We start from the raw sequence: 25,666 nt of genomic DNA, 5'->3' as shown, positions 1-25,666 counted from the left end.
ATAAAGTCTTTCTTCACTAAGTCTGGATCTCTTTTTTATTTGCCAGGACTTGAAATAGCTGTATCAGATGGGGAGCAGTTCAGTGCATGTCTGGAAAGACAGGAGCTGAGTGCAAGTCTGTAGGTCAGTTGGTAGAGACACGCTCTGAATGAATCAGGAGAACTGTAGGTGAGCGAACCCAGTTGAATAAGGGAAGAGGAAGAAATGTCTCTAAAGAACCACAAATGTAACCACCCAAAGAGTTCGTTTAGCCTGCTGCCCAGATAGAGCCAATTTATCAAGACAGGGGAATTGCAATAGAGAAAGAGTTTAATTCCTGCAGAGCCAGGTGAATGGGAGACTGGAGTTTTATTATTACTCAACTCAGTCTCCCCCAAAGTTGAAAATTTGGAGACTGGAGTTTTTTAAGGATAATTTGGGGGCAGGGGGACCAAGGAGTGGGGAGTGCTGATTGGTCAGGTCAGAGATCATCTTAGGAAGGTAAGCCTGTCCTCTTGTGTTGAGTTGGTTCCTGGGTGAGGGCTGTAAGATCAGAGGGCTAGTTTATCTATCTGGGTGGTGCCAGCTGATCCATCAGGTGCAGGGTCTCAAAAATATCTTAAGCACCAATCTTAGTTTTTACAATAGTGATGTTATCCCTAGGAGCAACTGGGGTGATTTAGAAACTTGTGGCCTCTGGCTGCGTGACTTTGAAACCATAACATCTAATCTTGTGGCTAGTTTGTCATTCCTACAAAGGCAGTCTGGTCCCCAGACAAGTAGGGGATTTATTTAGGGAAAGGGCCATTATCATCTTTGCTTCAAAGTTAAACTATAAACTAAGTTCCTCTCAAAGATAGTTTGGCCTATGCCCGGGAATGAATAACGACAGCTTGGAGGTTAGAAGCAAGATGAAGGCAGTTCAGTCAGATCTCTTTCATGGTCATAATTTTCTCATTGTTATAATTTTTGCAAAGGCAGTTTTACAAAGGTACCTCATGAGAAAAGAAATCAGCACTGGGGATCTGCTACAGTGAGCTCACTAATGGCAGGTGACACCTTTATCTCTGGCGAGACCTTTCTGTCAATAATAATAATAATTATTATCTTTTCTTATACTAGTAGGTCTCAAGACAGTAGCTAGAAAATGTGGGTTGACATGGAGGGAGGAAATGACCCAGAAGCTGACCACAATCCTGTCCTCCAAACCTGAAGCTCTGATTCTTAGAGGAGTAGAGAGACATTTTACATTGGATAATGGTTCTGAGTTTTGATATGACCAAGGACTGGATATTTTTTTTAAATCTAGAAGTGATGAGATAATTTTTTACTATCTGATAATGCCTGGAGTCAGGAGTGGGAACATTTATGTCCACTGAGTGGTTTTGATGAGACATGTTGGAAAAGAATAATGTTTTCTTTCTTAACAGATGCCTAAGTTTACATACATTAATTCCTTAGTACCACACATTGTCAACTATTTTTTGTGTGGTTAAAATGAGAAAAAAAAGAAAAGTGAATGATCTGGTTTGGCTGTGTCCCCACCCAAATCTCATCTCGAATTGTAGCTGCCATAATTCCCACGTGCCATGGGAGGGACAGGATGGGAGGTAATTGAATCATGGGGGTAGGTCTTTCCTGTGCTGTTCTCATGATAGTGAATAAGTATTATGAGATCTGATGATTTTATAAAAGGGAGTTCCCCTGCATATTCTGTCTTGCCTGTCACCATGTAAAACGTGACTTTGCTCTTCTTTCACATTCCGCCATGATTGTGAAGGCCTCCCCAGCCATGTGGAACTGTGACTCCATTAAACCTCTTTCCTTTATAAATTACCCAGCCTCGGGTATGTCTTTATTAGCAGCATGAGAACAGACTAATACAATGAATATATTACAGATGATGAAAATACAGCTTTCCCCCATTGATCAGCTATGTATTGACAGTCTATTTTGTGTTAGGTACTGGGGATACACAGGCATGTTTTCCTGGACATCATGGGAGATGACTATGATGATTAATTTTACCTGTCAACTTGTACTGAAACAAATGGTGCAAACATTATTCTATGTCTGTGAAGGTGTTCCTGGGTGAGATGAGCTTTTCAATTCATCGATTGAGTAAAGCAGTTTGCTTTCTCTATGTGAGTAGGCATCATTCAATCAAGTGATGTATTAAGGTTCTCTTAGAGGGACAGAACTAATAGGATATATATATAAAGGGGAGTTTATTATGTATTAACTTGCATGATCACAAGGTCCAACAATAGGCCATCTGCCTGCTGAGGAGAAAGGACAGCCAGTCCGAGTCCCAAAACTGAAGAACTTGGAGTCCAGTGTTTGAGGGCAGGAAGCATCCAGCATGGGAGAAAGATGTAGGCTGCGAGGCTAAGCCCATCTCTCCTTTTCATGTTTTTCTGCCTGCTTCATATTTGCTAGAAGTTAATTAGATTGTACCCACCAGATTAAGTAAGGGTGGATCTGCCTTCTGCAGTCCACTGACTCAAATGTTAATCTCTTTTGGCAACACCCACACAGACAAACCCAGGATTAATACTTTGTATCCCCCGATCCAATCAAGTTGACACTCAGTAATAAACATCACAAGTGAAGACCTGCATAAAACAAAAAAGTCAAGACAACTACTGTTGATGCCTGAATGCTTGAGCCAGGATATCTTTTTTTTTTTTTTTTTTTTTTTTTTTACTTCCTGACTTTAAAGTTGGACTCAAACTGAAACATTGACCCTTTTGGGTCTTGAGTCTGCCATCCTGGAACTTACACCATCAGCTCTCCTGGGTCTCCAGCTTACTGACTGTGGATCTTGGGATTTTCCAACCTCCATGATTGTGTGAGTAAACCCTTTATAATACTCTTTAACAAATATACACAAATATATGCACCTAAGTACACATATCCTATTGGTTCTGTTTCTCTGGAGAATCCTAACTAATACAATGTCACTATCCTAAAAAAATCACACAAATAAATGTGGGTGGTAAGTACTATGAGAGCATATAATAAGCAGATTTAACCTAGTCAAGAAAGGATAGAGTAAAGAAATATTGTGCTGCCTTCAGACTGAAAAATGGATTAAGAGGAGGCAAAAGCAGAAGCAGGAAGTTAAAAGTTACTGCATTAGTACAAATGAGATGATTATTACATGAACAAAGGGAGTTATGGGATTGGAAGAAGATGGGTTACACATGTAACTGGGTAGATGGATGGTGGTCCCTTTTGCTAAGAAAGGAGACACTGGCTTGTCAGGGATAATATCATGATCTTGGTTTGGTTGAGTTTAAGTTCTTTTGCCATTTCTAGGTAAAATGTTAAATAGGCAGTTGATTAGACGTGAATAAAATATGTAAGAGTGTAGCATGCTCTTGTTCTAATAATGCCAATTAATTGGAAAGATAGTTGAGTTTCTGACTGAACAGGCTTAGTTGCGAAAAAGGAAAAGCAAGAATGAGGGAAGGTTAAAATTATAATAATAGATCATAGATGCTGAGTGCTTTACATATTAGATAAGCCCTAAATGCCTTACATACTAAATTAGTGAATATGTTACACATCACACTGTGAAGTCCAAATACTATTATTATCCCCATTTGGTAGCCTGACTTTAAGACGATCCTCAATGATCCCCATCGTCTGGTATTTGTGTCATCCCTTCCTACAGTGAGGAGAGCTGACTTGTGTAACCAATAGGATATCACAGAAGTGATTTAGTGTCCTGACTTCTGAGGCCAGACCATAAGAAACATTGTGGCTTCCATCTTGCTCTTTTGAATTACTTGCTCTGGAAGAAGCCAGTCACCATCTTGTGAGGAAACTCAAGCAGCTCGTGGAATAGCTTATGTGGTTAGAAACTCACCACATGAGTGACAGCATAAAAGTTTGAAAAATTTGCAGCCTGACAATGTAGTAGAAAAGAAAACCCCATTTTCTGGGGAGAAATTCAAGCTGATAGCAGCCACCTTGGAAACTCTGGCCCCAGACAAGTTTTTAAATGACTGAAGCCCAGCCCACATTTTGACTGCAACCTCAGAAGAGAATCCAAATCAGAACTACCCAGATAAGCCTCTTCTGAATTCATGACCCAAAGAAACTGTGGGATAATACGTATTTATTGTTTTTGACCACTGTGTTTTGGGTGATTTGTTATGCAGTAGTAGACAATACATTTCATTTTATAGATAAAGAAAATAAGTCACAGAGAGGTTAAATAACTTGCCCAGTATCATAGAGCTAAAAGTGGCAAAACCAGGATTTGAACTCACATTGTCTGGTTTGCCTCCCCTCCTGAACCATCACACCCTATGCCTCTGCCGCTTAAAGAGAGTGAGGCATGATGTTCAGCATGAGGAACAAAGAGGATTTCTAAGTGGCCAATAGGTACATAAGTAGCTCATTTGCAGAATTTTATTTTATTATGTTGTTTTCCAGAATTTTACATAGAGTTCAGAGCAGTTTTAGGCTCATAGCAAAATTGGGCAGAATTTACATATTATTTCTAGTCATCAAGCCTTTGTATATATTTGAATTTACTCAGAAGCTGATAATTTTTTTATTTTTATTTTTTATTTATTTTGAGATGGAGTCTCGCTCTGTCACCCAGGCTGGAGTGCCGCGGTGGGATCTCGGCTCATGCAACCTCCGCCTCCTGGGTTCAAGTGATTCTCCTGCCTCAGCCTCCCAAGTAACTGGGATTACAGTTGCTCGCCACCATGCCCAGCTAATTTTTGTATTTTTAGTAGAGACGGGGTTTCAGCTTCACAGTAAAGGGGATGTTTTCTCTTTGCCCCTACACTCTAATTTATCTCCTTGGTTTTCTCTTTACTTCTGACGTCAAAATAGTCATCTTTCCATGTCCATATTTTGTAGGGAAGAAGTGACCCACCAATTACATGAGAAAGGGGGACTAAACCAGTTTTTATTGCTGTCTCATCCCTAAACTTTATGCCTCACAATCATGGCGGAAGGTGAAGGAAGAACAAGGCATGTCTTACATGGTGGCAGGCAAGAGAGCTTTAGGGTAGAGTTAACTTTAAGGTTTTCGTTAATAATTGTCACAACAATCAATGCTAAGTCAGCCACCTATGCACCTCGTTCTACTCTCTTCATTATCCCTACATTGTCATTAGGAAAAAGTTTGCTTCAGATGAGACCCAGACACAGAATAGGCTGTGCACCAACTTAAGAAACGTACTTGGCAAAAGACAAGTCTTCATTTCCTAAAGGAATAAGTAAATACCTATTGGAAAATTATATTTTATTGGCATATAGTATATAGTTCATCACAATAGCAAACTAACATCTATCAAAAATGGCCAATGAGCAATTTTGACCAGTACCTTCTGGAATAGTCTTCTATTCTATAGATTCTATAGAATCTAGAAGATTCTCCTTTAAAAATATTGGTGCATCTGCATAAACTCAGGAAAAATCTGGCAACCCCAGGATTTAACTCGAAAAGGTAAAACAACAAAGAGAGACCTAGGGAGCTATTTAGGAAACTATTAGGGAGCTATTTAGTGTGATTCAGATTTCCTTCTGTCGTTAGCTATTTGCAGATTCAATTTTGTGTGAAAACAATTTTAGGGTTGGGCAGGGGGGATCTTGGAGGAAACAACTGTAGTCCAATTAGTTAGCTTTTCAGAGGACTACCTCACTGGATTTCAGGCAGGTTATCTCTGTAATGATACTGTCTCTCAACTGAGTTGCGATAAGTATTGAGTGGCACCCAGATAAATCCCTTGATTCCTGACAAATGGCTGGAATATAAAATATTTAGTCTTTATTGCTGGTTGGTGCAGAGCGATAGGTTTAACTTTCAGGCAGGCCAAGGATACGCCAGCCAAGTTTGTAGATCTTGAGGAACCAGACAAGGATAGATCTGAATAGGAGATTCTCAGCTTGGCCCCAGGTTGTCCCAGGATGTTTCTGAGAGCAAGGCCAAGATACCTTCAAACATTTTACTTCTGCTCTGTCATACCAACGAGTAACACGAGTCTCAAATTTCAAAGCCATGCTTGAATATGCAAAAATGTTTACCCTCCAAATTTTAAAGCAGATGTAATATAAAACAGGAGATGTTTTCTGTGAGATGAAATACATTCCCTTTATGTTTTCTAGAACTTAATGCTTCTTGGTTAGTATACACTTTGGTTACTGTTATTTTGAAAGAAGAGATGAGGGTTCATATAGTAAAATTAATAAATAGAAAGCAGGTTTAAATTACAGCTAATCTTCAGAAATATTACTATTAAACATTTTAATGTTAATGCTACCTATTTAGTCTCAACAAAAAGAGTCAAACTCTGTAAAATATTTCAAGAGATTTATTCTGAGCCAAATGTGAGTGACCAGTGGCCTGTAACGCAGCCCTCAGGAGATCCTGAGAACATGCGCCCAAGGCAGCTGAGCTACAACTTGGTTTTATACATTTCAGGGAGACATAACACATCAATCAATATATGTAAGATGTACATTGGTTCAGTCCAGAAAGCTGGGACAATTGAAAGGTGGGGGATTTTCCAGGTCGTAGGCAGATTCAAAGATTTTTCTGCTGGGTGCAATGGCTCATACCTGTAATCCCAGCACTTTGGGAGGCCAAGGCAGGCAGATCACTTGAGGCAAGGAGTTCAAGACCAGCCTGGCCAACATGGCGAAACCCCATCTCTACTAAAAATACAAAAATTAGCCAGGCGTGGTGGTGCACATCTGTAATCCTAGCTACTTGGGGGGCCGAGGTGGGAGAATCATTTGCATGCAGGAGGCAGAGGTTGTACTGAGCCAAGATAGCGCCACTGCACTCCATCCTGGGTGACACAGTAGGACTCCATCTCAAAAAAAAAAAAAAAAAGATTTTTCTGATTGACAGTTGGTTGAGTTATTGTCTAAAGACATGGAATCAATAAAGAGGAATGTCTGGGTTACCATAAGGGTTTGTGGAGACCAAGGTTTCATCATGCATATGAAGCTTCCAGGTAACCTGCTTCAGAGAGACTAGATTATAAATGTTTCTTACCAGACTTAAAGAGTCTGTTCTATCAGTCTTAAGGTCTGTGTTGATGTTAATGCTGGTAAGCTGGGCCTGAATTCTAAGAAGGAGAAAGGTGTATAATGAGGCGTGCTCAACTGCCCCCGTCCCGTCATGGCCTGAACTAGTTTTTTCAGGTTAACTTTGGAATGCCCTTGGCTGAAAGGAGTGGTCCATTTGGATGGTTGAGAAGCTTAGAATTTTATTTTTGGTTTACATCAGAATGACACATTGTCTCAAAATATTTTGGCTGAATTTTTATTTTTATTTTTTTCAAATCAGGGAATAGAAGAATCCCAACATTATTTTCCTCCCAAATCTTATTTATATCTTTCAGTTTCTCCTTTTAAGTCAATCACCTGATTTAAAAAAAATCCATCTTGTAAATCAGGACTATTAAAAGATGATGTATTTCCTAAGTAACTGCTCCAAGGGAAGAAAGAAAATTTTCAAATCATTTTATGTTAATTAATACTTTTAAGCCAAGAGCAGAGCTTTTCTGTTAATTTTTAACTAACAAAAATAATAAAATTTTGTGACTAGGCAAAATTTTGTTGACTTTCGGTCTGTCAAACCAGTGGAAATAGACACATTAAAACTGACATTCAGTTCTAATTAAATTAATTGGTACCAGTAGCTCAGCTATGAGAAACATAGGTAGGTTGTAAAAATGCTTACATGAGTTCTTCTACTTTTAATTTTTAAATTTTTTTTTTTTTAAAGATTGGCTCAGCGCGGTGGCTCACACCTAGAATCCCAGCAATTTGAGAGACACAGGTGAGAAGATGGCTTGAGCCCAGTAGTTCGAGACCAGCCTGGGCAACATGGCAAGACCTCATCTTTACAAATAATAAAAAAAAAAATTAGCCGGGCATGGTGGTGCACACATATGATCCCAGCTACTCAGGAGTCTAAGGTGGGAGGTTTGCTTGAGCCTGGACAGTTGAGGCTGCAGGAAGCTGCGATGGCACCCCTGCATTCCAGCCTGGATGACAGAGTGAGACCCCATCCCTCCAAAACAGGCAAGGGAAGTTAACATTTATCTAAGAGTAATTCACATTATCAGTGTCAGGATAAAGTTCCACACCTTAACATCTGGAAAGATGTGAAATAGTGGCTTTTTTAGAGAACAGGAATTAAAACTCTAACTCCATAAAATATCTTCCAACTTTTTATCAGAGCCAGGCTTGGTTCACAAGAGTCCTTGTCACCCTATGACAGTATTAGACATATCTTGTTACTGGAAATATAGTCAGAAGAAAACATCATTTAATGCCTAATTAACAAATAGAAAATCCCATCACCAAATTAGAGAAAAATAAAAGCAAACCAAAAACAATCTTTATCTCAAGGCCTATGATATTCAATAATTATGTTCCATTTCATGAATATTCACAAAAATTTCCAGTAACAAGGGGTAGCATCTCTTCAGGAAGTTGGCGTCATTTTACTTATGGTTAAAATCACTGAGAGAATTTTTAGAAAAAAAAACAACAACTCTAAAGCCCTACCCTGGGCTGTCACAGTTGCCCACAGGCCCAACACCACATGTAAGCCGCCAAGACTTGGGGCTTGCACCCTCTGAAGCCATGGCCTGAGCTACACTTTGGCCTCTTTTAGCCATGGCTGGAGCTGAAACAGCTGGGATGCAGGGCACTATGTCCCAAGGCTGTGCAGAGCAGGGGGACCCTGGGACTAGTGCACGAAACCATTTTTCCCTCCTAGGCCTGAGGCCTGTGATGGGAGGTGCTGCTGTGAAGGTCTCTGACATATCCTAGAGACATTTTCCCCATTGTCTTGGTGATTTGCATTTGGCTCCTATTTACTTACGCAAATTTCTGCCACTGGCTTGAATTTCTCCCCAGAAAATGGTTTTTCCTTTTCTACTGAATCATCAGGCTGCAAATTTTCCAAACTTTTATGCACTCTCACCTCTTGAATGCTTTGCCGCTTAGAAATTTCTTCTAACAGATACCGCAAATAATCTCTCTCAAGTTCAAAGTTCCACATATCTCTGGGCAGGATCAAAATGCTGCTAATCTTTTTGCATAGCAAGAGTGACTTTTATTCCAGTTCCCAACAAGTTCCTCAGCCTGAGACCACCTCAGCCTGGACTTTATTGTCCATATCACTATCAGCATTTTGGTCAAAGCCATTCAACAAATCTCTAGAAAGTTCCAAATTTTCCCACATCTTCCTGTTTCCTGAGCCCTCCAAATCTCTAGGAAGTTCCACTTTCTCACATTTTTCTGTCTTCTGCTGAGCACTCCAAACTGTTCCACCCTCTGCCTGTCACCCAGTTCCAAGATTGCTTGCACATTTTTGGGTATCTTTACAGCAGTGCCCCACTACCTAGTACCAATTTACTGTATTAGTCTGTTCCCATGCTGCTGATAAAGACGTACCTGAGACTGGGTAATTTATAAATGAAAGAGGTTTAATGGACTCACAGTTCCACATGGCTGAGAGGCCTCACAACCATGGCTAAAGGCAAATGAGGAGCAAAGTCATGTCCTACATGGTGGCAGGCAAGAGCACATGTGCAGGGGAGCTCCCCTTTATAAAACCATCAGATGTCATGAGACTTATTCACTGTCATGAGAATAGCATGAGAAAGACCTGCCCCATGATTCAATTACCTCCCACTGACTCCCTCCCATGACACATGGGAATTATGGGAGCTACAATTCAAGATGAGATTTGGGTGGGGACACAGCCAAACCATATCGTGCCCCCACGTTGGACAGTCAGCTTCATGGTTCATTCAGGGTGACAGGAGGGGAGGAGAGATCTGCCCACCCTCTTTCCAGGTAACTCACTTGTTCCTGAATGGAAGTTGCAATAGCCTTAGGGATCACGGGTCCACTGTGGGTGGTGTCACCAGGCCCATGGGAAGAGGAGGTGTTGCCTCAACTTAACATCCTTAGCTAGGGCAGGGGGCATGGGTTTGGTGGGTGGAGGACTGGAGAGTGGGAAAGGGAGCTGGGACCCTATAGCTGGTGAGTTGCAAGCCCATCAAGCAGTGGGGAGGGTGCACTCGTAGAGTCCGCACTTGCTCACAAGTATTATCCTGGTGCCTGAGAGAGCATGACATTAAACAGCAAAGAAAAAACAATGAAACTGGTGGAGCAGACTCTTTGGAACAACACTACATTTTGAGTGATTTAGTATTTCCTAGAAATTTGATCCCTAAATAATATTTACAAAATTGCATTATTGACTAGTAAGATTTTCAGCAGAAGCAGCAAATGTCACTTAAAAACCGTGTGTGCTTATGAAAGGAGGTCATTTTACTTGAGATGGATTGTGTGTGCTGCTTACTCTGTTTCTCACTCCAATCCACCCTTCACTCATCTCCACTCTACTCTGTGGTCTAGGAGGCTGCTGTCTATGGATGGCATTGCCTGGGGCTTCCTTGCCTGCTGGCGTCCATGTGGGTTTAGCAATGATGGTAAATAGTATGTGATGGAAGATCCAGAGCAGAAAGAATTTGGGGTGTTTGATTCCCTTTGCCCCCTCTTTGCTAGGTGCAGGTTGGACAGAGGCTGCCTTCCTCCGCTTTAGGCTTTGTTGAGATCTCCCTCTGTCACCCTCCATGGCTCACTGGAGCTGCTCTTTCCTCTTGCTGCCTGGAGCCTGTGGGTGGTAATGGCTTCCCACTGTTGCCAGTTCATGGGTGCTTTGTTATCCCTAGTTAGTGTCTTTATTTTGGCTCACCACTCTGTGGTCGGCTGCTTTCCCAAGCTTTCTTTGGTTAAACCCTTTAGGACTGCCTTCTGTTTCTGCCAGCACTCTGATTGACACAGCACCTTTTCTTCATACGGCACGCAAGTGGATGCGATGCAAGTCTGTAGCTTGGAGGCATTTAATTGGAGCTTACATCTTAGAACCATGCTGTCATCTCATTTCCTGGTTAATCCCTAAGCATACTCCGATGGCCTGGCAATATGCTAACTTGGCTAGGCTGGACGACATTTTCCAAAATTCTCGTCCCTGTATGTTTCTAGTTAGTGTGGGTCACAGATATATTTGAAAAGGGGAAGTAGAGTAAATTTTAGGCTCGAGGATCTGTGGAGGCACCAGATATTGTGGCAACTCGTGCCCATTGGCGTTTGCCTGCTGGCTGCCCTCACTGGTGTGGGAAGTACCTGGGCCTGCAGCTGTTCTGTCAACCCCAGATCCTCCCATAGCTTCTCTGATGCTTGGGCCACATGTGTGTTCAGCTCCAAAACAAAAATGCCAGCTTCCCCTGCAGGACACCCACGTCATCGGCGTTGGCAGAGACAAGACTCACCAGGCTCCAGTCTGTCTCTGTGGGCTCCAGCTTATGCCCATGGGTTCCAGTTTCCTTTATTCTTTTCCACTTTCCATCTGTTTTCCCTTCCTGCCTGTGGACCTGCAGACTGAAGGTCAAACACCAGACAGAAAGACTACAGTCCTACAGCGACTGCCCAACCCTTTCCCATGGTGGTATTAGGTCAATTCTTGTAACACACAATATTTGTATAATAAATAATATGTAGAGTGGGTCTGTGTCTCCCATCAAACTCTGACATACTTATACCATCATTCTTTTATCTTCACATATGTACATTAGATGTTTTAATACTTTCTGCCATTGGTTTTTCTTCTTTATTAATGCCATTTCAACTATAATTTCAGAGCCTCATTACCTTCTAAAATATCTTAGAAATAACACTCTGAAATTGTATTCCTTTGAGAACATAATTAACTAATTAACATCAATCTGGATGCCTGCTTTGAGGCCATTAGCATCCCACAGAGGCTATGATTTGTAAATTAAACTAAAATCAAATTGGCTCTTCTGTTATTTCTCAAACTATTGTATAATAATTATTAGGTTTCTATGAAAATATTTAAAAATTGTTTAACTTATAATTTTAAATGACCTGTACATTTCACTGATCCATGAATTCCATTCTTTCCTTTTTTTTCCTTAACTACCCTTTCTCTTTCTTCTTTTTTCTTTCTAGTTAAATGAATGTCTAAATCGGTCAGAAAACTTCTTCTGTTATCTATTCTTCTGATAAACTACTTCTAGTAAGCAACTTCCTTTCCATTGTTTATCAGTGGAAAGTAAAAACCTTCTTTCATTGGGCCAATAAAAATACCCTCCACCTGAGCCCATTTTTTTATTGTAACATTTATTGCAAATAGACATTTTTTCCATGTTCTCTTAATATAAATTTTTCCATAATTTGAAATCCATTATTATGTCATTTATTTTGCATGTGTGTGTGTGTGTGTGTCTGTGTATGTGAAAGGATACTAATTAATCTAAATGTTTTTTATATTCCAGAAATGGCTACATTCCTATTTTCTTTCTTATTTGGAATTTACTTGTCAAAGCTAAGACTCTAATTCATAGAGTATATGCATTATCTGATATCTATTTCTGATAGAAAATGTGACATAATGTTAGATGTTAACATTCAGAACAAATTATGTCAGGATTTTCTTTTCCAGGAATGTCTTTGCTTTTATGATCACTTAATACTGTGAATTATACACAAATATGTTTATATTAAAAAGGGGGGAAAGTTTATTTTTGTAAAAGTAAGTAAAACAAACATGACCAGCATATCTAAGAATCAAATACCTTTTGTTTATCTAAAAATAGATGAGAAAAAAATTAGAAGCTTAATTTATCAATTTATGAAATTAATTTAGAACAAAATAATTATGAGATAATTATGAGAAAAAAGTTATGAGAAAAAAATGTATAGAGAGCAATTACATTTCAAAACCCTTTTGAATTCACCAGCCTGAAAAATATTTTTAATGTAACCATTATAATCTGACTTTCTTTACTATGTGAACGCCCTCATATAAGATAAATAAGAACATTCATATTAATAAGAACATGCATTACCTTATTTAATTAAATGCCATTCACAGTGGAACTCATCAATCCGAGGAAGATAATGGACTTGGATTGTTAGGGCATTACAAAAGCTAAGCCAAGGTTTTCTTCTAATTTTACAAATCATTTTCTAAATCAAATACACATATTAGCACAGTGTTCATTTTAAAAGAGGTTCATTTTAAAAGTAATTGGCATGGAACCTGGACAGTGCTCTATTCCACTAATTTTATAGTTCTAGGTAACTCACTACAAATAGATAAAAAGCAGGATCAGTAATTTCCTGAGCCAGAGCTCAGTTTGTAATTAACATAGAGTTTATTTAGATGGAGTGAAGGAAGGGAGGAGAAATAAATAAATTCATAGGAAGGTCAGCTGAAATTAATGTTAAACTCTCCATAATAAAATATATTTTGTGTAGTTTATTACTAACCAATTGGTTTCATTTGTATAATATATATCCCGTAATTCCCTAAAATATAGGTTAGCATGATAAACAATAATACTAGAATATTATCTCGATTTAAAAATATATAGTGATTATCTAGATTTTTAAAAATCACTGAAAAGAAGCAGACGATTTATATTCTGTTTTCAATGTGAAGAGAAGGAAATCATTTGCCTTATGGGTTTTATTTCTTGATTAATGTAACAATTACAGTATTGGACATTTTAGAAAAAAGATTGATATTTCAACATAAGAAGAAAATTACCAAGTAATATTTAGATTCAGAATCCCTTGTGGTATTCCATGAAATAAATCAAAGGTAAAGTGCTTGTTTCCCTTTCCAGGAAACAAAGTAATTAAATTATCCTCTTTTAAATAGGGTTGATGCTATTAGTTCTTGAATTGATGTAAGTTGATTTCAATGTTTTCTACTTTGTAACATTGAAATTATGCTTCCACATATTGTGATAACATTAAGCATATTATTTTTCTTGGATTAGATGCCTGACATTCTACTATGAAAGGATTATATATTATACATATGATATACTACTAAGTGATTTACATAGTCACATTATGTCTCAAGATTCTTAAGCTCGGGTGTTAGCTCTTTAACTGTCTTAACATCCTAAAATAAACAGAACAAACACTTAGATGCATCAGAGTGAGTACATATATATGTCTCTAAAATTTTAATCACATAACTTCTTCTGTTGGTTTTCAGAAGTACTAACTCACCAGAGAAATCTGAGAATTGTGCTACAGACTGATTTTCCTATATCAATTCAAAGACAAAGATAGTGTTGTCATAGGTCTAGTAAAATGTATTGCCAAAAACACTTCTTTAGAGTTCTAAGTTTATACAAAATTAGTCATCACACTTTTTCTCACTCATATTTTAGTTTTATGAAATAATGCTACATAGACTCAACTGCACGAATTTCTCCCTAACTGCAAATGCTAGAATTTTAACACAGATCAATCCATTTTCAGGATCGCCTGCCATAAAATTACTGATTGATCCCTTTGGTTGAACTCTGTTAACTGATTTCTCCTTTCTCTGTTTAGGTAGATTTATAGACCTAGCAAACATCACATAAAGTCAGTAATGTTGAAATGTTATTTAATGAGGCTTCATAGCCAGTGTTACAAACTAATGATGTAAAAATTTTAAAAGCAGGTTTGGGGAATAAAACTGACTTCAACATTTTATCCTTTAAAAAACTGTAAATCCTTTACAATAATGGGAATTTGTTCAAAATACGTTAAAAAATTAAACTTAAGACAGTGCATCAAAAACTTAAAGGAAAAGTCTTCTTTTAGAATCAAGTAGGCATACTGCCATTTATTATATTTTCATAATTCTGTAACATTCATCCATGGTCAAAGCACAGTCAAAATTTTAAAAATTTTAAATAAGCAAGCATTATAAATTCATATTTTATTTTAATTTTAAGGTAATTCTTCCTAAAAATATTTCATTTTCACTTCTTGAAAACAGTTGCTTTTGTTGCATTGATGAATGAGTTGGTTGATACTCAGCAGTTTGTAAGCTCCTTGAAAGTGAAGCCGGGATCACAAGGCTGTGCAGGCTGTGTGATGGCTTCACCAAAACCATGTGACGCCACAGTAGTCTTATTTCTTTTTTAGACAGTGTGACTAAAGGGGTAATTAAGGGGCAAAATGTAGACTCAGGGTATTTGAACTTCAGCAAAGCATGTGACAACGTCTCTCATATCATATCTTTGAGGATTAAAGGAAGAAATGTTAGCTGGAGGCAAGAACAGTGTGATAGATTGAGCCCTCGGTGAATGATCATAATCAGGACATGTGAAAATGACCATAATCAGCACATGTCAAAATGACCATAATCAAGGGCAAACTGTGTCCTTGGCCCTTTGCTGATCAAATTTATTAATGACTTAGATGAAAATATGAAGCTCCGTAGATTTATAGCCAGCATAGAAAACTGAGTAACAGAAAGATCTGCACAATTGGGTTGAATCTACTATGATGAGATTTAACACAGTAAGTTCATGATATTTGGTCCTAAAAGAAAATGAACAAGTGAGATTGGAGGAAATGTAGCTCAGCAATTGTAGTGAAAATATGAGTCAACAGCAAGATGTGACTCTTAGCAAAGCTACGCTGCCCTTGAGCTGCAAGAAAAGAAGGGTAATGTCCAGAGTGAGAAAGGCAGCTTTCTCAATCTATTCCATCAAATCCCATCTGAAAAGTTATATTGTCTATGTGCTATCGGAGGTTATTCAAACGAAAGTGATCAGGACAGTGAAATAATTTTAAAGCATGTGATCTGAGGGACAGTTAAAGAAATTGGGAGTCAAGAAGACTGAGGGAATCCAAAATCATGGCTTTAAAACATTTCAAGGACAGCCCCAAAAGAAGAAGGACTAGACTTGTGCCTAGTACAAAGGGTAATACTGAGACCATCGCCCATACGGAAGTGGAAAGTCTCTTTCTGCAGACCAATGTCAGCTCATAAATGTAGAAGGATTGATGGAATTAGAAAGTCACCATTTTGCAACTGCCGTTGCAGTAATTGACTCAGACAGGGATAATCAATGGATACTAAAACCAATAAGAGAAAGGGTGTTGAGAAATAGGATATTCATAGGGTGTCAAAGTATTAACCCACAGATGATGTTCTTCTACAGCTTGTTTTAATACCACAATTTACTTCTATATAAATATATTAGGGAACAATTTGAACACAATGCTGATTTTGCACTTGCTTATACCTGATTTAATCCGGAAGAGTCATCCTGTCACCCGCTTCTACGTGCAAACTTCAGGTCTCTTCAGGGGAAAGTGCCCTATTTATATAGTTTACATGTATTTATTTACCATTTAACATGTGTAAAACTGTGCTGTCATTTTTATTGGGCTCCTGCTTTTTAAAAAAATGTGTAATTGGTGAAGTTTTTGTGTTGTGTCTTTAACCTGATTTTCCCCATAAAACCTGTGGTTTTTGTTTTGCAATTTTTCATACCTGATGATTTTTAGTACCACATCTGCTAAATTATAGTGGACTCACTGTATTTGCTAATCACAAAGTTTACAAGTACCCACAATAGAGTGATATTGCTGTATCTGCCTTACATGAAATGATCAATAATCTAACATTACGTGCCTCTTGACGGGATGCAATATGATGTACACACATAACCTATAAAACGGCCAGAAATGTCTTAGTTGGATATAATCAAGACTTTATACATAAACAAAATAGGATATATATTTATATATTCACATAAAGGATTGGCTCAGAATTTTCACTTAGCACAAATATTACATTAAATTTGAAACTAAGAATTAAAATAAAACTGGTGATGAAAAAATTTTGCAGAAAATTAAGGAAATCTGAAAATAGATTGAGCATTAGATGATAATAGGGAATTACTGCTTATTTTCCTAGGTATGATAATGGTATCATCATCATACAGAAGAATATCCTTTTCTTAGGAGATGCTTACTAAAATCAAGGTAAAATATCCTAATGTGTGCAGTGGGGGTGCTCACAATACTATTCTTTTTTAAAATTAAGTTTTAAAGATTTATCAATAAATAGTTGAAAAATTAATTAAGATATCATTAAAAAGTGAATGAGAGTGTTGGGAAAGGGATATTAGTAAAATGATATTTTCAGGTTAAATGTAATTTTTGTGGTCTACTCCTACTTGAAATATCTGTGTAAATTTTGTATGAGATATATATCCAGATTTGTTAACTGGAAAAAAAATAGACTAATTGCTGACAACTCAACATTAAAATGCCTGGTATTAAAAAATGTAGCAGCACTCCATTGGATAATGAACTTCAGGGAATTGTAATAGAAGGCAATGAAGCAAAGAAATGATTTATTTATGTGTAGCCTAAGATGATAAAATGACTTATAACGGTGAGAAGGGTATTCTGAGGAACCACAGCATTGCTGTGAAAAAGTGAGCAAATACTTTTTAAATTTTTTAATGTTATTATTATTATTTTTTGAGATGAAGTCTCGCTCTATTGCCCAGGCTGGAGTGCAGTGGCGTGATCTTGGCTCACTGCAACCTTCACCTCCTGGGTTCAAGCAATTCTCCTGCCTCAGCCTCCCAAGTAGCTTGGGATTACAGGTGTGCACCATGACGCCTGGCTAATTTTTGTATTTTTAGTAGAGACAGGGTTTCACCATGTTGGCCAGGCTGGTCTCGAACTCCTGACCTCGTGATCCACCCACCTCGGCCTCCCAAAGTGCTGGGATTACAGGCATGAGCCACCACGCCCGGCTGAGCAAATACTTTTTCATAGAACTTGTTAAAGTAAAACAAGCACAATATCTATAAATATGTTTGTATAAAATATTAGTTCTAAGAGACACATTGGGAAGTCTTTACGGCTTCTGGTCTTTTCTTGAGTAATAATATATTAACCTTACCCTTACTTCTTTGCTCCTTAGACACCCTCCTCTCAAATGATTACGTCAAAGAAACTACTCTCATAGAAGTTTAAGTAAAACAATTTCAAGCTTTTAATACAAGATTATTTTTGATAGTAAAAAAAGACTACCTCATTAAGGAAAAATATCAATAACGTGGCATCTATTATATAATTTTACATTCATTTTTAGCTTTAGAACTAAGTATGATAAACTGTAATCACACTGCGGTCATTCATAGTTTTGTTTAACTCTTAACCACTTGTAGGGTTTTGCTTTTTCTATGCTTTAGCTTTCCTTCAAATCATTAATCTTTTATGTTTCCTCTGTGAATGAAAAGCATATTTTATTTTCATCAATCTGAGACAATTTAAGTATGGTTATCTCTCAAACTTGAAAATTGATGACCAATATATCAAAATTATAAGACAGTTTATTACATTCAAATGTATTTATTAAGAGCAAAACTTTCATTTAATTCACTTGACATCTGTTTCATAGAGCCACAGACCTGAGCAAAATTATATTTTTATGGAGAAGAATAATTTTAAAAAATGCAAATGAGGACTAGCTCTAGGTTCTCAGTACTGGTGATGGTGAATTGGAAAGTAGTAGGAAGCATGGCTGGCTTTTAAAAAGGCACTCTCCAGAGAAAGGGCTATGACTTGGGCCTGACATGTGCTTGCTGTGTCCAGGGTGCTGAGGGTGAAGGGGGAGAAGGTTAGGAGAGAACATCAAAAAGCACACGAAAACAAGTGCATTTTATGAACTGATGCTTGGAAACATCTTGGAATAATTCTTTTGAACATTGTTGATGGTCAAGATATATCTATTATTTGCAAATTACCAATTGACTGGTCTCTTGCTCCCTAAAATCTGTAACTACTGGAACTCTGACATCTGGTAAAAACTACAGCTGGTCATACTTTACAGTTTCTTGATTTCATGTTTGAAGCCATCTCTAGACCATAGATGGCATCAGTCATTTGTCTTAGAGGGGCTCGTTGCAGGAGAAATGCAAGAGAAAATAAAGGGGTTTATTCAAATTTTTTTCTCTTCCTCTCCCTGTTGGTTATTGCTACATTGGACAACAATACCCTCACTCTACACTCTCTCCCCCAAATTTCTAAAGCAAATGAGGAGGCTATTCTTCCTTTACCTTTTTGTGACCTTTCTTTTTTCCCCAGACAGCCTTGGAAATTTATTTAACTAGATTTCAGCTGTATAAAATGGACGGTTAGGAAGAGAAGGAAGCATATAATATGGTTATGTGTGCCCCAATACTTCCTAGAAATGACCCTGTGGGCCAAATTCCCCTAAGGAGATGTCGTGCTGTTTCATAATCCATGGAGCATCTTATAATTATACAACCATTAATTCTTTTTCCTGCTTCAAATTTCACTGATTTACTTATGTAACAGTGTCATTAAAACCCATATATCATTTTTCACCATTAATCCATTATTCATGAGTTTCATCCATCTCTGAAGTATGTTCATCAGGAAAAATAGCCTCAATTTGCAGTTTAATTGACCAAATGTACAGTGGTATCTGATCATATAAATGGTCATTTCTGGTTCAGCAGAAGCTTATGTTTAGTAGGATTAAAGTGATCTTTATTTTACAGTTCTCTCTTCTGATGTGATTTTCATAAATGTTAACATACTGGTTTTACCAATAGCTATACAACTAGGGTTGCCAGATAAAATATAGGAGGCCCCATTAAATTTGAATTTCAGATAAACAATTATTTTTCCTCAGTATAAATATTCTACAAATATTATATGCATACTTATAAAATTATTTGTTGTTTTTTTGAAATTCATATTTAACTGTGTGCTCTGTGTTTTTATGTACTAAATCTGGCAACCATACCTACATAGTAACAAAGTCAAAACAACCACATAATTCCCTACTATCAACAAAGATCTCCTTTATTACAATGAATCATTTTTAAAAATATGTTTTTGAGGATTTTGGTACTCTTAAATAACTATATTGGTAGGTACCAGGAAACAATATGGATTTGTATTTTTGACATTGTGTTGAGATAATCAGGTTATATCCATTCAAATTCCCATTGTATAAAAATGTGTAATATTTGCTATCCAATTTTATTTCTACCAGATAGTATGTACACACAATTTTGCATAGACTAAGTCTTCAACAAATATTCAATTAATTTGCAACTCCTTTCTTTCTTGGAAGAATTAAAAACTAAAAATCCATTCAATCAATTTATGTCTCTACTTCAGAAAAAAAATAAATACCAGTAAATAAAGGTCATGAACATATTGTGCCCCAAAGCAGTCAGCAGGTCAACCATCTTGATTTTTACTTTTCATTTTCCTTGACTTCAAGGGAAATATATTCATTTCCTATTGCTGTTTGTAACAAAGTACACAAACTTAGTGGCTTAAAAGAACACAAATTTATTCTCTTGTAGTTCTAGATGTCAGAAGCCTTAAATGATTCTTTTGGGGCTAAAATCAAAGTGTTGGCAGGGCTGGTTCTTTCTGGAGGTTTCAGGGAGAATTCATTTGTTTGCCTTTTTCACCTTGTAGAGGCCATTTGTATTCCTTGGCTCAAAGCCCCTTCCTTATTCCAATTCAACTTTGTGCTCCATCATTACATCTCCTACTACTTACTCCGATCACTCTGTCTTCTTCTTACAGTGACCCCTGTGATTATATTGGATTCACCCAGATAATCCAGAATAATCTCACCGTCTCCTTTACCACACCTGAAAAGTTTCCTTTACCACACCTGAAAAGTTTCCTTTACTATATAAAGTGACATACACTCAGGTTCTGGGAATTAGGATGTGAACCTTTAGGGAAACATTATTCAACCTACCATAGAAAGGGATTGGCAAATTGAAACTCACAATACATTTCTACATCTGTATTATAAATCAATTATATACGTACACACATACCTTACATTTACAGAGTGTTAGTCTTTTTTTTATCAGCAGTGCTTTTCACTTCCAAGAATTAATTTGAGTATTACTCTTAGAGTAGGTAGTGAGGCAGACATGAACAGGCCAGGAGACAGCCCCTCACCACCAGGGGTGTCAGGCAACCATCAGGAGATGCTCAGGAGGTTATTAAACTGTCTTTCTAGAATAATAATTGGTCCCAGCCAGCGCCAGGGAAAGGCAATCTCCCAATAGATAGAAAAATCCTGATCAGCCGCTTCCCAATAAGATCTCAGGAGTTGGGAGAGTGGGCTCAAGCATGAACAGTACGAGAAAAATGGCAGAGTTTAATTTGTATATGATCTTCCTGTAGGAACATTTGGTAAGAGAAGAACGCCTCAAGAGAGCATGTGCAAAGCTGCGGTAAACACACTCCGCGTGTGGCCCCTCCCAAGGGCTGGCAGCTCACTGCGCATGCGGACAGCCCACCCCAAGGGAAGAATCAGGGCAGAAGGGATGCGACCCCCTGAAGTACTCCAACGTATCAACCCCAAGTCAAAGGTCCAACTGCATACATTCTCTCAAGCCGCCTGCTTGGCCCTCTTCCAAGTGTACGTTACTTCCTTTTGCTCCTGCTCTCAAGTTTTTTTGTTTGTTTGTTTTGAAACGGAGTCTTGCTCTGTCGCCCAGGCTGGAGTGCAGTGGCGCGATCTCGGCTCACTGCAAGCTCCGCCTCCCGGGTTCACGCCATTCTCCCGCCTCAGCCTCCCAAGCAGCTGGGACTACAGGCGCCCGCCGCCACGCCCGGCTAATTTTTTGTATTTTTAGTAGGGACAGGGTTTCACCGTGTTAGCCAGGATGGTCTCGATCTCCTGATCTCGTGATCCGCCCGCCTCGGCCTCCCATAGTGCTGGGATTACAGGCGTGAGCCACCGCGCCCGGCCTGCTCTCAAGTTTTTTAATAAACTTTCACTCCTGCTCTGAAACTTGCCTAGATCTCTCCTGCTATATGCCCCTCAGTAGAATTCTTCCTTCCGAGAAGTCAAGGACGGAGGTTGCTGCAGACCGGTATGGATTCACCGCCTGTAACATCACAACACCACGGTGCTGTAGACCAGACGGGTATTGTTGTGCTGCTTTTCTTTTTAATTTTTTTATTTTTTAGACGGAGTTTTGCTCTCTCGCCCAGGCTGGAGTGCAGTGGAAGAATCTCGGCTCACTGCAACCTCCGCCTCCTGGGTTCAAGCCATTTTCCTGCCTCAGCCTCCCGCGTAGCTGGGACTACAGGCGCCCGCCACAACGCCCAGCTAATTTTTTTGTATTTTTAGTAGAGACAGGGTTTCACCATGTTAGCTAGGATGGTCTCGATCTCCTGACCTGCTGATCCGCCCGCCTCGGCCTCCGAAAGTGCTGGGATTACAGACGTGAACCACCGCGCCCGGCCGCATTTTGCTGCTTTTCATATGCTCATGAGTAATCACAACTGCAGCCTTTTGAGTGTTTACTATGGGCTACGTATAATGTTGGGAATCTTTCATTTCCTTTAATTTTTGGAACCACCCTATGAGGTAGGTTTTATTATTATTCTCACTTCCATGTGAAAATAAAGTAAATGAGCAACAATTGTTAAGACATTTTTAACATTTAGTATTTACTCAGTCACTGTAGTACTTTACATACATTATCCCATTGAATCCTTTCAAAACTTTAATGAGTAGACAATGTTATTAACGCTCACAGTTTGGAAGAGGTTAAATCACGTGCCCAAGGTCACGCAGCTTGTAAGTGGCAGAGCCAGGATGCACACCGGGCTTACTGGATTCTGGGAATCATATTATTAACCATTCCACTCTATTAAGTAAGGAACTTGTCTACGGTTGCATGGTTCATACGCAGCAGAACTAAAGTTACAACAAATAACGCCCGTTTCCTAGGGTGCTGTTCTTTCAGTCACAAAGCCATCAGGATGATGGTCTGTCTGGCATTCTAGTACAGCCACAGCCCTCAGAGATACCGATTTTATTAGCCTGAGGTGAGGCCCAAGCACTAGTATAGTTTAAAAGCTGCCTGGGTGATTAAAATGTGCAGGCAGGGTTGTGAACCACTGCCACAAAGGGTAGATCCTAAACTTCTGGGAAGCAGCAGGCTATGATGCATAGAAAAAAACAGAAAAAATAGAAACTGTTCTGGGCTGGGTTCGGTGACTCACGCCTGTAATCCCAGCACTTTGGGGGCTGAGGCAGTGAATCAGTTGAGGTCAGGAGTTCAAGACCAGCCTAGTCAACATGGTGAAACCCAGTCTCTACTAAAAATACAAAAATTAGCTAGGCGTGGTGGTGCACGCCTGTAATCCCAGCTACTCAGGAGGCCGAGGCATGAGAATCGCTTGACCTGGGGAGGCGAAAGTTGCAGTGAGCTGAGATCATGCCACTGCACTCCACCCTGGGCAACAGAGTGAGACCCTGTCTCAATAAATAAATATAATTTTTTAAAAAAGTTGTTCTGGAGGTCAATTACGTGCCCTTGTCACCAGCCATCAGGAGGTTTGCTACATCCTACAGCCTGCATGAGGTTACAGAGAGTCTGCAGAGCGCTATTAACCATTTCTTTGTTTCTACGTCTGCTGACAAATACAGTGAATGGGAACCTCTCAGAAGCCAAAATTACATCAATATAATCATTAGTGATTCTGATAAGAGAATAGCCAGAAGTCCCCCAAACTGTGAATGTGTTTTCAGTGAGCTCACATTTTAAAAGCATGAATATAGAACAAAGAAAAAAAAAAAGGAAGCCTAATCAAAAATAGATTTAGAAGGATAGCCCAGGCCTGTAAAAATATTGTTAGAAAGGCCAATATTCAGAATGTGCTAAATTGCAATAAGTCTGAAAACAAAGCAAAATAAAAAAACATTTTTAGAGATACAAGAAGCAAGTCCAGGCATGAGGCTCATGCCTGTAATCCCAGCACTTTGGGAGGCTGAAGCAGGTGGATCACTTCAGCCCAGGAGTTCGAGACCAGCCTGGGCAACATGGCAAAATCTCATCTCTACAAAAGAAAACAAAAATTAGCCGGTGTGTTGGCACATGCCTGTGGTCCCGGTGGAGGTTACAGTGAGCCAAGATCATGCCACTGCATTCCAGCATGGGCGACAGAGAGAGACTCTGTCTCAAACAAAACAAAAGCCAAAAAAAAAAACAAACCCCAAAAAAGAGAGATACAAGAAGGAAGAATTTTAAATAGCATAGGACAAGATATCAGAAAACCCTCCTTTAAAAAAATCCACTGAAGTTTGTACATGTTTTCCCTATCATTTAGAATGATTCTCAGACTAGAAAAGATAAGACAAATATACATTATTAAATCAGAATTTTAGAGCAAATTTAGAGAATCTAGCTTGTGCTCGCTTCACAGCCCTTACCAAGCTGAAGTCTTTTTTTTTTTATTTTTATTTTTTTGAGATGGAGTCTCGTTCTGTTGCCAGGCTGGAGTGCAGTGGCACGATCTCGGCTCACTGCAACCTGCACCTCCCGGGTTCAAGCGATTGTCCTGCCTCAGCCTCCCGAGTAGAAGTCTTTTGAATATGTTATTAACTTGGCCAGTCAATAGACTTTTTTTTCCTTTTCTTTTTCTTTTTTGAGACAGAATCTCATTCTGTCGCCCAGACTGGAGTGCGGTGGCGCGATCTCAGCTCACTGCAACCTCTGCCTCCCAGGTTCAAGTGATTCTTGTGCTTCAGCCTCCCAAGCAGCTGGGATTACAGGCATGCACCCCTATGCCCGGCTAATTTTTGTATTCTTAGTAGAGACGAGGTTTTACCACGTTGGCCAGCCTGGTCTCGAACTCCTGGCTTCAAGTGATCCACCTGCCTTGGCCTCCCAAAGTGCTGGGATTACAAGTGTGAGCCACCATGCCTGGCCCAATAGGCGTTTTTTGAGTGGGTGAGACTCCGTGCTGGGTTCCTGTGAAGGAGCACTGTCCCCTTGCCACATCTCCCCGTCTCCTCTGGGGCTTGGTCTAGTCTAATGAGTTTATATTTAAACAGCAATGTTGACTTACTATTGAAGCATCAGGAGAACACAGAAATAGAAAGCTGGGCATGTATAAATATTCTCATCTCAAAAATGTAAGGTAACATCTATGAACTTCAGACTTGCAAAGTTGGTGTTGATCTCTAGACAGCTCACAGGGCCTTCTGAGATAAGATTTCTGCCATCCTTCTCAGTGCATCAAGCAGAGCCTAAATCACACAGGGTTTTGCAACTCCAGGTGAGGTTGCAGTGAAAGCCTAGAGAACTCCTGGGGAAGAGTGCATTTAGCTCCTTTTCATTTCTAATTGAATTTCAGACTAGGTTTATATTTCTAGAATGGAAATAATTTGCCCTCAAAAGCATGAAAGCTTTGCCCCATTGTCTTCAAGGTATTTGAATTCTCCTTCTGGAAACATATGACCTATTTTTTCCTTGTAGAAACATTTAGAGTCTTCTTTTGTATCTGTGTTATTTTGAAATGTTATAAAGATATTCTTTGATACTTGTCTTTTCCCATTCATTGTGCTGTGCCCTCAACAGGAAATTTTGCTCTGAAAATTCTTACCTTTCAGTTTGGAGAGATATTCTTACATTATGTCTTTGATATTTCTCTTTCAATTTTCTCTGTTCCTTGTTTCTGAAACTCCTACCAAGGAAATTTTTATCTCTTTTCTGACTTTATTTTTGTATCCTTTTTTTTTCCTATTTTGCATCTCTTTGCTTTTTAACCTTATTATTTGAGAGCTGTCCCCAACTTTATCTTCCAATCCTTCTATTGCATGTTTTATTTTTGCTATCATAATATTAATTTCCCAGAGTAGTTTTAGTTATCTGAATGCTCCTATTTTTTTAAGATCAGTTGTTTCATGGAGGAAATTTTTTTTTTTCATAACTTTAAGAATATCTATCTATATATGTATATTTCC

General features: G+C 38.7%; 1 long non-coding RNA gene across 1 annotated transcript; it reads left to right on the top strand.

Annotated features, from left to right (window-relative positions):
* The first annotated feature begins 7,766 nt into the window (after positions 1 to 7,766).
* Positions 7,767 to 21,397, top strand: LOC107985158 (uncharacterized). Its single transcript, XR_001753494.1, has 3 exons — positions 7,767 to 7,798; positions 16,790 to 16,857; positions 21,085 to 21,397. It is a non-coding gene; the product is annotated as an uncharacterized LOC107985158 (long non-coding RNA).
* Positions 21,398 to 25,666: the final 4,269 nt, after the last annotated feature.

This window comes from Homo sapiens, chromosome 18, assembly GCF_000001405.40.
Source record: "Homo sapiens chromosome 18, GRCh38.p14 Primary Assembly".
NCBI lineage: Eukaryota > Metazoa > Chordata > Mammalia > Primates > Hominidae > Homo > Homo sapiens.
This window is presented reverse-complemented; position numbering and strand designations above follow the sequence as displayed.